At 39.1% G+C, this 13,205-nt stretch overlaps 1 long non-coding RNA gene across 2 annotated transcripts in view; it reads left to right on the forward strand.

Moving 5' to 3' along the window:
• Positions 1 to 13,205, forward strand: part of LOC105375452 (uncharacterized) — an 18,612-nt gene continuing 5,407 nt past the window's right edge. For both annotated transcript variants that reach the window (XR_927864.3, XR_927865.3), the window contains exon 1: positions 1 to 238. This is a non-coding gene — a long non-coding RNA (uncharacterized LOC105375452). The remainder of the gene's footprint in view (positions 239 to 13,205) is intronic.

The following is a 13,205-nucleotide window of genomic DNA, read 5'->3' on the forward strand; positions in this document are numbered from 1 at the left end:
TTTGGAGGATATAAGGTTTACTTCTAAGGAGATAAAAAGCAATTGATGCTTCCTCAAAATAAAAAAGTTGACTCCAGCCATGTTTTTATTTGTTGAGAAATATTCTATATCTACACTATGGGATACAGACTAACAGTTATTTACCTGTCTATTGAGTACTTGTCACCTAGGAGTCATCAGTAAGTTGCATCCATTAAACAAAGAAAAGTCATTCAACCAGCCATCTGGAGACAACATGGTAAGCAGAATTCTAAGAAGGCTCCCAGGATTCCTGCATCATGGTATAACATACTCTATATAATGTCCTCCTCTTGAGGGTGGGTGGCACTATTTCCCTATTGATTTTCTGTATAGATGATCTGTCCATTGTTAAAAGTGGAGTACTGAAGTCTCCAATGTTATTGTATTATAGTCTACCCTACCCTTCAGATCTATTAATATTCGTTTTATATATTTAAGAGCTCCAATATTGGATACATACATATTTAAAATTGTTATATCCTCTTGATAAATTGACCCCTTTATTATAATATAATGTCCTTCTTTGTCTCTTTTTATAGTTTTTGACTTATAGTCTATTTTGTTTTATATAACCATAGCCATGCTCACTCTCTTTTGGTTACCAGTTTCCTGGAATATTTTTTTCCAAACCTTCATTCTCAATCAATATGTGCTCTTAAGGCTAAAATGAGTCTCTTTATCCATTTAGCCACTGTTTCTTTTAGAGAATTTAATTTATTTATGTCAAACGTAAGTATTGATAGGTAAGGACTTGCTACTGGCATTTTGTTAATTTTCTACCGATTGTTTTGTAGTTCTTTTGTTCTTCTCTTCCAATTTTGCTGCCTTTATAATTTGTTATATTGTTGTAATACTATGCTTTGATTCTTCTTTATCTTTTTTGTATCTACTAGACTTTTTTGCAGTTTTCATAAGGCATACATAAAACATCTTATCGTGTCCTAATTTAAGCTGATAATACCTTAACTTCAATTGCATACAAAGACTCTACAATTTTACTTCTCCTCACCACCATATTTTATGCTATTGATGGAATACTTTATATTTATTTCTATTGTATATCTTTTACCAATTATTTGTAGCTATAGTTATTGTAATACATTTGTTTTTGAACTTTTGTACTAGAGTTAAGAGTGATTTACACAGCACCTTTACAGTATTAGAGTATTTTGAATTTGACTATGCATTTGCTTTTATCAGTGAGTTTTATATTTTAATATGTCTTCATGTTGATACTTGTCATCCTTTTGTTTCAACTGTAAGAGCTTCCTTTCATATTTCTTGTAAGGCCAATCTCATGATGATAAGCTGCCTCATCCTTTTCTTGTTTTCGAATTTCTTTATCTCTCCTTCATTTCTTAAAGACAGTTCTTCAGTGTATAGTATTCTTGGCTGGCAATTTTTTCTTTTAGCATTTTGAATGTGTCATTCCATTCCCTTCTGGTTTGCAAGGTTTCTGTTGAGAAGTCTACTGATAGTCTTATGGGACATCCTTTATATTTGACAGTTTCTTCTCTCTTGCTGCTTTGAAGATTCTCTCTTTGCCTTCGATTTTTGATAATCAGATTATAATGTGTCTCAGAGTTTCCTTTTTAAATTGATATTGGTTAAGGTCTTTTGAGCTTCCTGAATACGTATGTCCATATTTCTCCCAAGAATATGTCCATATTCCTTCCAAGGAGTGTTGATGGGTATGGCTTCCTTCAGGTTTCTGGGAGGGCTCCTGATGGGTCACTGGATGGATCCCCGGGATGTCTGTATGGCTCCAGTTTGTGCCTGAGACAGGCTGTAACTGAATCCCTAGATTCGCACAAACAGATTTTTGTTGTGGGTAGGTGCAGAAGGAGGGAAGATGAGCAGGTGACCTCCTATTCCACCATCTGCCCAAAGTCATCTCTCATTGATTTTTAAATTTGTGCTTTCTCCAAACTCTTTTTCTAAAATTCAGTTCATGTTTCTTTCTAACAACCCCAAACCTTAATACTCTATCAATTCCCTTTTTCTCCTCTTGTATTATCTATCTCTGTGAACTGCCTCCTTCACCACACCCAAACCCCATGTCAAGGTAGGAATGTAGGAGCCATCCTAGACTCATTAGTCATCAGAGAGGTGCAAACTAAAACTAACAAGTTATAAAAACACTCGAATGTTTAATCATGCCACTGTTAAGAGAACATTGGGCAACTGGGACCCCTATACACTGCTGGAAAGCAAATAAAATGGTGAAACCAATTTGGAAAATTATTTGGCAGTTTCCTTTTTTTTTTTTTTTCGACTTGGATTTTTTTTTTTTTTTTATACTGTAAGTTTTAGGGTACATGTGCACATTGTGCAGGTTAGTTACATATGTATACATGTGCCATGCTGGTGTGCTGCACCCACTAACTTGTCATCTAGCATTAGGTATATCTCCCAATGCTATCCCTCCCCCCTCCCCACCACAGTCCCCAGAGTGTGATATTCCCCTTCCTGTGTCCATGTGATCTCATTGTTCAATTCCCACCTATGAGTGAGAATATGCAGTGTTTGGTTTTTTGTTCTTGCAATAGTTTACTGAGAATGATGATTTCCAGTTTCATCCATGTCCCTACAAAGGACATGAACTCATCATTTTTTATGGCTGCATAGTATTCCATGGTGTATATGTGCCACATTTTCTTAATCCAGTCTATCATTGTTGGACATTTGGGTTGGTTCCAAGTCTTTGCTATTGTGAGTAGTGCCGTAATAAACATACGTGTGCATGTGTCTTTATAGCAGCATGATTTATAGTCATTTGGGTATATAACCAGTAATGGGATGGCTGGGTCAAATGGTATTTCTAGTTCTAGATCCCTGAGGAATCGCCACACTGACTTCCACAATGGTTGAACTAGTTTACAGTCCCACCAACAGTGTAAAAGTGTTCCTATTTCTCCACATCCTCTCCAGCACCTGTTGTTTCCTGACTTTTTAATGATTGCCATTCTAACTGGTGTGAGATGGTATCTCATAGTGGTTTTGATTTGCATTTCTCTGATGACCAGTGATGATGAGCATTTTTTCATGTGTTTTTTGGCTGCATAAATGTCTTCTTTTGAGAAGTGTCTGTTCATGTCCTTCGCCCACTTTTTGATGGGGTTGTTTGTTTGTTTCTTGTAAATTTGTTTGAGTTCATTGTAGATTCTGGATATCAGCCCTTTGTCAGATGAGTAGGTTGCGAAAATTTTCTCCCATTTTGTAGGTTGCCTGTTCACTCTGATGGTAGTTTCTTTTGCTGTGCAGAAGCTCTTTAGTTTAATTAGATCTCATTTGTCAATTTTGTCTTTTGTTGCCATTGTTTTTGGTGTTTTGGACATGAAGTCCTTGCCCATGCCTATGTCCTGAATGGTAATGCCTAGGTTTTCTTCTAGGGTTTTTATGGTTTTAGGTCTAACGTTTAAATCTTTAATCCATCTTGAATTGATTTTTGTATAAGGTGTAAGGAAGGGATCCAGATTCAGCTTTCTACATATGGCTAGCCAGTTTTCCCAGCACCATTCATTAAATAGGGAATCCTTTCCCCATTGCTTGTTTTTCTCAGGTTTGTCAAAGATCAGATAGTTGTAGGTATGCGGCATTATTTCTGAGGGCTCTGTTCTGTTCCATTGATCTATATCTCTGTTTTGGTACCAGTACCATGCTGTTTTGGTTACTGTAGCCTTGTAGTATAGTTTGAAGTCAGGTAGTGTGATGCCTCCAGCTTTGTTCTTTTGGCTTAGGATTGACTTGGCAATGCGGGCTCTTTTTTGGTTCCATATGAACTTTAAAGTAGTTTTTTCCAATTCTGTGAAGAAAGTCATTGGTAGCTTGATGGGGATGGCATTGAATCTGTAAATTACCTTGGGCAGTATGGCCATTTTCATGATATTGATTCTTCCTACCCATGAGCATGGAATGTTCTTCCATTTGTTTGTATCCTCTTTTATTTCCTTGAGCAGTGGTTTGTAGTTCTCCTTGAAGAGGTCCTTCACATCCCTTGTAAGTTGGATTCCTAGGTATTTTATTCTCTTTGAAGCAATTGTGAATGGGAGTTCACTCATGATTTGGCTCTCTGTTTGTCTGTTGTTTGTATGTAAGAATGCTTGTGATTTTTGTACATTGATTTTGTATCCTGAGACTTTGCTGAAGTTGCTTATCAGCTTAAGGAGATTTTGGGCTGAGATGATGGGGTTTTCTAGATATACAATCATGTCGTCTGCAAACAGGGACAATTTGACTTCCTCTTTTCCTAATTGAATACCCTTTATTTCCTTCTCCTGCCTGATTGCCCTGGCCAGAACTTCCAACACTATGTTGAATAGGAGTGGTGAGAGAGGGCATCCCTGTCTTGTGCCAGTTTTCAAAGGGAATGCTTCCAGTTTTTGCCCATTCAGTATGATATTGGCTGTGGGTTTGTCATAGATAGCTCTTATTATTTTGAAATACGTCCCATCAATACCTAATTTATTGAGAGTTTTTAGCATGAAGGGTTGTTGAATTTTGTCAAAGGCTTTTTCTGCATCTATTGAGATAATCATGTGGTTTTTGTCTTTGGCTCTGTTTATATGCTGGATTACATTTATTGATTTGCGTATATTGAACCAGCCTTGCATCCCAGGGATGAAGCCCACTTGATCATGGTGGATAAGCTTTTTGATGTGCTGCTGGATTCGGTTTGCCAGTATTTTATTGAGGATTTTTGCATCAATGTTCATCAAGGATATTGGTCTAAAATTCTCTTTTTTTGTTGTGTCTCTGCCTGGCTTTGGTATCAGAATGATGCTGGCCTCATAAAATGAGTTAGAGAGGATTCCCTCTTTTTCTATTGATTGGAATAGTTTCAGAAGGAATGGTACCAGTTCCTCCTTGTACCTCTGGTAGAATTCGGCTGTGAATCCATCTGGTCCTGGACTCTTTTTGGTTGGTAAGCTATTGATTATTGCCACAATTTCAGCTCCTGTTATTGGTCTATTAAGAGATTCAACTTCTTCCTGGTTTAGTCTTGGGAGAGTGTATGTGTCGAGGAATTTATCCATTTCTTCTAGATTTTCTAGTTTATTTGCGTAGAGATGTTTGTAGTATTCTCTCATGGTAGTTTGTATTTCTGTGGGATCGGTGGTGATATCCCCTTTATCATTTTTTATTCCGTCTATTTGATTCTTCTCTCTTTTTTTCTTTATTAGTCTTGCTAGCGGTCTATCAATTTTGTTGATCCTTTCAAAAAACCAGCTCCTGGATTCATTGATTTTTTGAAGGGTTTTTTGTGTCTCTATTTCCTTCAGTTCTGCTCTGATTTTAGTTATTTCTTGCCTTCTGCTAGCTTTTGAATGTGTTTGCTCTTGCTTTTCTAGTTCTTTTAATTGTGATGTTAGGGTGTCAATTTTGGATCTTTCCTGCTTTCTCTTGTGGGCATTTAGTGCTATAAATTTCCCTCTACACACTGCTTTGAATGCGTCCCAGAGATTCTGGTATGTTGTGTCTTTGTTCTCGTTGGTTTCAAAGAACATCTTTATTTCTGCCTTCATTCCGTTATGTACCCAGTAGTCATTCAGGAGCAGGTTGTTCAGTTTCCATGTAGTTGAGCGGCTTTGAGTGAGATTCTTAATCCTGAGTTCTAGTTTGATTGCACTGTGGTCTGAGAGATAGTTTGTTATAATTTCTGTTCTTTTACATTTGCTGAGGAGAGCTTTACTTCCAAGTATGTGGTCAGTTTTGGAATAGGTGTGGTGTGGTGCTGAAAAAAATGTATATTCTGTTGATTTGGGGTGGAGAGTTCTGTAGATGTCTATTAGGTCCACTTGGTGCAGAGCTGAGTTCAATTCCTGGGTATCCTTGTTGACTTTCTGTCTCATTGATCTGTCTAATGTTGACAGTGGGGTGCTCAAGTCTCCCATTATTATTGTGTGGGAGTCTAAGTCTCTTTGTAGGTCACTCAGGACTTGCTTTATGAATCTGGGTGCTCCTGTATTGGGTGCATATATATTTAGGATAGTTAGTTCTTCTTGTTGAATTGATCCCTTTACCATTATGTAATGGCCTTCTTTGTCTCTTTTGATCTTTGTTGGTTTAAAGTCTGTTTTATCAGAGACTAGGATTGCAACCCCTGCCTTTTTTTGTTTTCCATTTGCTTGGTAGATCTTCCTCCATCCTTTTATTTTGAGCCTATGTGTGTCTCTGCACGTGAGATGGGTTTCCTGAATATGGCACACTGATGGGTCTTGACTCTTTATCCAATTTGCCGGTCTGTGTCTTTTAATTGGAGAATTTAGTCCATTTACATTTAAAGTTAATATTGTTATGTGTGAATTTGATCCTGTCATTATGATGTTAGCTGGTGATTTTGCTCGTTAGTTGATGCAGTTTCTTCCTAGTCTCGATGGTCTTTACATTTTGGCACGATTTTGCAGCGGCTGGTACTGGTTGTTCCTTTCCATGTTTAGCACTTCCTTCAGGAGCTCTTTTAGGGCAGGTCTGGTGTGATAAAATCTCTCAGCGTTTGCTTGTCTGTAAAGTATTTTATTTCTCCTTCACTTATGAAGCTTAGCTTGGCTGGATATGAAATTCTGGGTTGAAAATTCTTTTCTTTAAGAATGTTGAATATTGCCCCCCCCCCCCCCCACTCTCTCTGGCTTGTAGGGTTTCTGCCAAGAGATCTGCTGTTAGTCTGATGGGCTTCCCTTTGAGGGTAACCCGACCTTTCTCTCTGGCTGCCCTTAACATTTTTTCCTTCATTTCAACTTTGGTGAATCTGACAATTATGTGTCTTAGAGTTGCTCTTCTCGAGGAGTATCTTTGTGGTGTTCTCTGTATTTCCTGAATCTGAACATTGGCCTGCCTTGCTAGATTGGGGAAGTTCTCCTGGATAATATCCTGCAGAGTGTTTTCCAACTTGGTTCCATTCTCCACATCACTTTCAGGTACACCAATCAGACGTAGATTTGGTCTTTTCACATAGTCCCATATTTCTTGGAGGCTTTGCTCATTTCTTTTTATTCTTTTTTCTCTAAACTTCCCTTCTCGCTTCATTTCATTCATTTCATCTTCCATTGCTGATACCCTTTCTTCCAGTTGATTGCATCGGCTCCTGAGGCTTCTGCATTCTTCACGTAGTTCTCGAGCCTTGGTTTTCAGCTCCATCAGCTCCTTTAAGCACTTCTCTGTATTGGTTATTCTAGTTATACATTCTTCTAAGTTTTTTTCAAAGTTTTCAACTTCTTTGCCTTTGGTTTGAATGTCCTCCCGTAGCTCAGAGTAATTTGATCGTCTGAAGCCTTCTTGTCTCATCTCGTCAAAGTCATTCTCCATCCAGCTTTGTTCTGTTGCTGGTGAGGAGCTGCGTTCCTTTGGAGGAGGAGAGGCGCTCTGATTTTTAGAGCTTCCAGTTTTTCTGTTCTGTTTTTTCCCCATCTTTGTGGTTTTATCTACTTTTGGTCTTTGATGATGGTGATGAACAGATGGGTTTTTGGTGTGGATGTCCTTTCTGTTTGTTAGTTTTCCTTCTAACAGACAGGACCCTCAGCTGCAGGTCTGTTGGAATACCCTGCCGTGTGAGGTGTCAGTGTGCCCCTGCTGGGGAGTGCCTCCCAGTTAGGCTGCTCGGGGGTCAGGAGTCAGGGACCCACTTGAAGAGGCAGTCTGCCGGTTCTCAGATCTCCAGCTGCGTGCTGGGAGAACCACTGCTCCCTTCAAAGCTGTCAGACAGGGACATTTAAGTCTGCAGAGGTTACTGCTGTCTTTTTGTTTGTCTGTGCCCTGCCCCCAGAGGTGGAGCCTACAGAGGCAGGCAGGCCTCCTTGAGCTGTGGTGGGCTCCACCCAGTTCGAGCTTCCAGGCTGCTTTGTTTACCTAAGCAAGCCTGGGCAATGGCGGGCGCCCCTCCCCCAGCCTCGCTGCCGCCTTGCGGTTTGATCTCAGACTGCTGTGCTAGCAATCAGCGAGATTCCATGGGCGTAGGACCCTCCGAGCCAGGTGTGGGATATAGTCTCGTGGTGCGCCGTTTCTTAAGCCGGTCTGAAAAGCGCAATATTCGGGTGGGAGTGACCCGATTTTCCAGGTGCGTCCGTCACCCCTTTCTTTGACTCGGAAAGGGAACTCCCTGACCCCTTGCACTTCCCAGGTGAGGCAATGCCTCACCCTGCTTCGGCTCGCGCACCGTGCGCGCAGCCACTGGCCTGCGCCCACTGTCTGGCACTTCCTAGTGAGATGAACCCGGTACCTCAGATGGAAATGCAGAAATCACCCGTCTTCTGCGTTGGTCACGCTGGGAGCTGTAGACCGGAGCTGTTCCTATTCGGCCATCTTGGCTCCTCCTCCGGCAGTTTCTTACAAAGCTAAACACACATTTATTCTATTGCCTAACAGTTCTACTTCTGGATATTTATACAGATAAAATGAAAACACAGATACACAAAAAGACTTGTACAAGAATGTTCAAGCAGCTTTATTCATAATAAAGCCTGTGTTAGAAATAATGCTAACCCACATACCCATCAACAAAATAGACTTAAAAAAATAGACCTGTTATATTCCCACAATAAAATACTTCTCAGCAATAGAAATGGAAAAAGTATGGCTACGCAAAACAACATGGATGAATCTCAAAAACATGTTGAACAAAGAAAGCTAGATACAAAACACTGTATATCATAATGATTCCACTTACATAAAGTTCAAGAATAGATAAAAATTATCTATCATAATAAAAATCTGAAAAGCATTTGCTTCTTGAGAGTGGAAAATTTATTGAACAGAGGGACACTTTCTGAGTTGATGGAAATATTCTACCTCTTGATAGGGGTGTGGGTTAGACAGGTGTACACATTTATCAAAACTCATAGAATTATTCACTTGAGATACATACATTTCACTGTATGTGTATTTTACCTCCAAAAAGTAGTATTTGAAATTACTGACAGAAGTTATTTTCTTTGTTCCTATAAAATATACAACAGTAGGGAAAAGGAAATAGTAAACTGCTCTTGATTATTTTATTCAGAAGGTGATATTTCCCATCTAGGAGATCATCATCTTGAACACACTGAGAACTCACAAATTCTATTTAAATGTTTTGAATCAAGCACTTTACTCTCACTTCTTTAGGACAGTAATATTTACCAACCCAGAGTCATTTTTCTTAGTGTCACTGAAAGCTTCTATTTTTAACTTTTGGTTTCTAAGTTCCAGGGTCCATTAGGGACAGATTGAAGAAGCAAAAAAAGGAATAAAGCACCAGATGTAGGAAAGAAAATAAAATGCACTGACAGTCTATTTTTTTTTCCTTGGAACTAATACTGCTTTCAATAGCACCAGATGTCAAACAATCTACCAGCCATCAAACATGTAGTCCTGAATCCTTAGAAGTAAAAAATACCAAACATGGGATTGACTAATTGTGGCCACAGCACCTCAGGACATAAATATCCCTCAGTAGAACCTGAAACAAGGTTGGTTCCCCACGTATCCCCTCCAGATAGACAAGGATTCAGCTGCAATGAAATGATGGTCAGAGTTCATGGAGAGTTGTCCATGCTGGAAATTGTTGAGTTTGAGTTTGCAGTTGACTGAATCTGGGCGTAATTGCAAGCCAATTTGTATGAAAGCCAAGCACAAACAAAAAATACCTGGTAATCAGTGATGGCCAATTCAACTTGGATCATACCCCAGACCTTGTCACCACTTGTTATTCATTTAAAAAACCATTAAGACTGTAAGGTATGTTTTATTACTGCCTATATTTGTTCATTCCATGTACCACCATCTCATTCTATTCATTACCATCTCCTCTAAAGCACTGCATATCATTACTAAAAAGAAACTTATTTTCTTGCTCCAAATAACTGCTACTAGAAGCTTATATGTTTTCAATTCCTGGACAAAAACATTTGTCCCTCACCTTAACAAGTGCTTACTTATATAATAAGTGATGAAAGGAAGTAGCACATATTTTGAATCCAATAATACAACGTAATTCTGGGACACCACAGAAGAACCAATCTTGAGTTTAGCCCGGAAAGCATGACACCTTTATTTGGAAGGCCCTCAAAGCACCCTGGAGATGTGGATCTTCATGCACATAAGCTATAAATATCTTATTATATTGACTAAAAACATTAACATTTCTCCAGGGAAACATGAATTTGGGGATAAATAAAGACTTGAAATTGCCTCTTGTAAGTTCAGGTCAGGATTTTTTTTTTTTTTTTTTTTTTTTTTTTTTTGAGACGGAGTCTCACTCTGTCGCCCAGGCTGGAGTGCAGTGGTGCCATCTCGGCTCACTGCAAGCTCCGCCTCCCAGGTTCATGCCATTCTCCTGCCTCTGCCTCCCGAGTAGCTGGGACTACAGGCACCCAACACCACACCTGGCTAATTTTTGTATTTTTAGTAGAGACGGGGTTTCACCGTGTTAGCCAGGAGGGTCTCTATAGCCAGGTCAGGATTTTTTACAAAAAGAGTTTGCCACGAACATTTAAAAAATCTTTTCACTTTTCAGAGATTTTTGAATTTTGGATTTACAAAAAACCTATGCTAGGTATTTGTGTTTGGCTTTTATTCAGATTGGCTTGCACTGTTAACTCCTCATTAACTCTGATCATTATTTTCTTGCGGTAAAATCCTGATATAACTGGAGGCAGCACATAAAAAAAAACTAGCCTTGTTTCAGATTCTTCTAAAAGCTGTGAATTTTCATTTTTGTGATCTGATGAAATAACAGGAAACACACTAAAACTCACCGTAGAGGTGAACAAGAAACTTCTTACACAAAGATTTCCAAACATATTTAGGCTACAATATATTTTAGCATGATAAAGAGTTCCATGGACTCTTACCCTTGTCTGTTTGCTAATACTCTCTCAGCAATTCCTCCTTCTACCAAAAAAAGGAAAGAAGAAAGAAAGGAAAATTTTACCTAAATAATAAAAAAAAAAAGTCTGTTATCCTGAGAAGCCAGAGTGGCTATACTTAACTTCTCATGCATTCATTCATCAACATTTTATTGAGTACCTTATAGATGCAAGAAACTACTATCCCTAGGAATATTACTATAAGCAAGACAGACAAATACCCTGTGCTCACAATGCTTGCCTTATGGGAAGACAGGACAGTGGAGATGAATGAATGGAAAATAAACAGCGAGTAGATAATTAGAGAGAGTGATAAGTATGAAGTCCATAAAAAGGTTAGTGATAGAATAGAGATTGACAAAGTGGAGGTACACTTTGGATAAGCTGGACAAAGAAAACCAACAGTGTATTAAGATAGACAACAGTGTGCTAAGGATGAAAAATAAACAACAGTGATGAAAGAAGATGGATGAAAGAGAAACAACAGTGTACTAAGCCAAGAGCCAAGCTTTCCAAAGAGGGAATTTCAAGTGCAAAGACAAGTATGAAAGAGTTTGATAAATTTAAAGGCCAGAAAGGATGGTCGTGCACCTAAACAGGAGTGAGTTAGGGAGACAGAACTACAGCATGTAACTAACAAGGTTGGTAGGAGTCAGATCATGGCCTTGTCAACAATGTATTTTACTCTAGGTAAAACAGGAACTCGGTAAAATGTTTTAAATAGGAGAGTTCCATAAATCTACATACATTTTTAATCACTTATTTTCGTATGGATATTGGAGGTCATACAGAATAAAAGGAAGAAAACATGTTAGAAGACTGTTGCAGCAGTTTTAGTGAAAGATGATGGTGTTTTAGGGGAGAATGGGATGGTCTGGGGCTGATGCAGGGGGAAGTGGGCAGAGAAGTGACAGGACTTGTTCATAGACAGATGTAGGTGGTACGGAAAAGAGAAGAATTGATAGGATTTAGGTTTTAGGATGAGCCATTCAGTGGGATAGTCTTGTCTGGAAACAAAAATCTGTGAGCTATGGGCATAGATAGCTTGCAGAGCCCTAGGAGAGAATGAGATGAGATAGGAAGAGACAATAAAAAGAAAAGAACCTAGGACAATGCCCACAGGCTCTACAATATTTAATGTTCCAGTTGAGAAAAAGAAGCTAGCAAAAAGTGAGATAGGAGAAAATATGAAAGTGTTATCACAAAAGTCAAGAGAAAAAAAGCGCAGACAAAGAACAGAGTGGGAAGTTAAGAAATGGTCCAGTGTCCATTAGATCTGACAAAGTAGCCAATTATTACTTCAGTTAATAATTTAATTATACTCTTACATCACATAAATACTAGCACTAGACCCAACATTTCCATATTTCTGTAAAACCTCTGCGTGTGTGTGTGTGTGTGTGTGTGTGTGTGTGTGTGTGTGTCAGAATCTAAGTCTTCAGAGCCAGAGCACTGGCAATGTAAATGCAAGCAATGCCAATTTCTATCTGAACACGAGGAAAAAGGACATCTGACCCAACTTTACCACCCAACATCACACATCCTTACTAGAGAGACACAGTGACTCAACCAGGCTCTGACCTAGGACTTAAAGCGGATCAAGGTTGGGATCTACAGAATGGAAACCAAGAGAAGGAAACCTTCAGGCTATAGAGACAAGCCAAGCATATAACAAAACCATGCATGACAACTGGCTGGGAGAAGAGAAAGAAAGGGGCACCAAATCAGGACAAGAGAAGGCAGTGATCAAATCAAATAGGTAAACCAGAGAGACTGGTTGGAGTGAAGACATGAGAAATGTCTTAGGTTCAGATCAGTCACCTTTCAAAACAACAAAATCTTTGCCTACCCTCAGGGTTGAGTATATGTACATAGAAACACCACTGCTAAGATGCTGCCGTTCTGATGTCCCCTATCCCCTTGCTGGGCCCAAACTCACTAAAACTCTAGCCTTTCCTCCTTTTTCTCCTTCCCTGGTGCCCAATTCAAGGAAGTTGAAAAGCCTAGGTGAGACAGCTGGACATTTGTCCACCAACGTGCTCCCTGTATGTACAGTGCCTGGTGTCTGTCCTCAGATCACTCTCTAGGTGGAAGCATTTTCAGCATGAAAACCTTAAGCAAAATCATGGCCTGAGACAGCCAACCATACTTCTGTCAGAAATTGATGGAAAGCCACTCAGTAGACTTTTTTTTTTTTTTTTTGGTCTAAACTAACTCTGGGACTGAAAGAAAAGTTTGACATTATAAATACAACCTAATCAAAAAGATTATTTCAAGTTCCCAAGTTTTCACATACACAAATCATGTATTGGTTCCTCTAGGAGAATTTATTGCCCTAGTCTA

The sequence above is a fragment of the Homo sapiens genome, chromosome 7 (genome assembly GCF_000001405.40).
Source record: "Homo sapiens chromosome 7, GRCh38.p14 Primary Assembly".
NCBI classification, from domain to species: domain Eukaryota; kingdom Metazoa; phylum Chordata; class Mammalia; order Primates; family Hominidae; genus Homo; species Homo sapiens.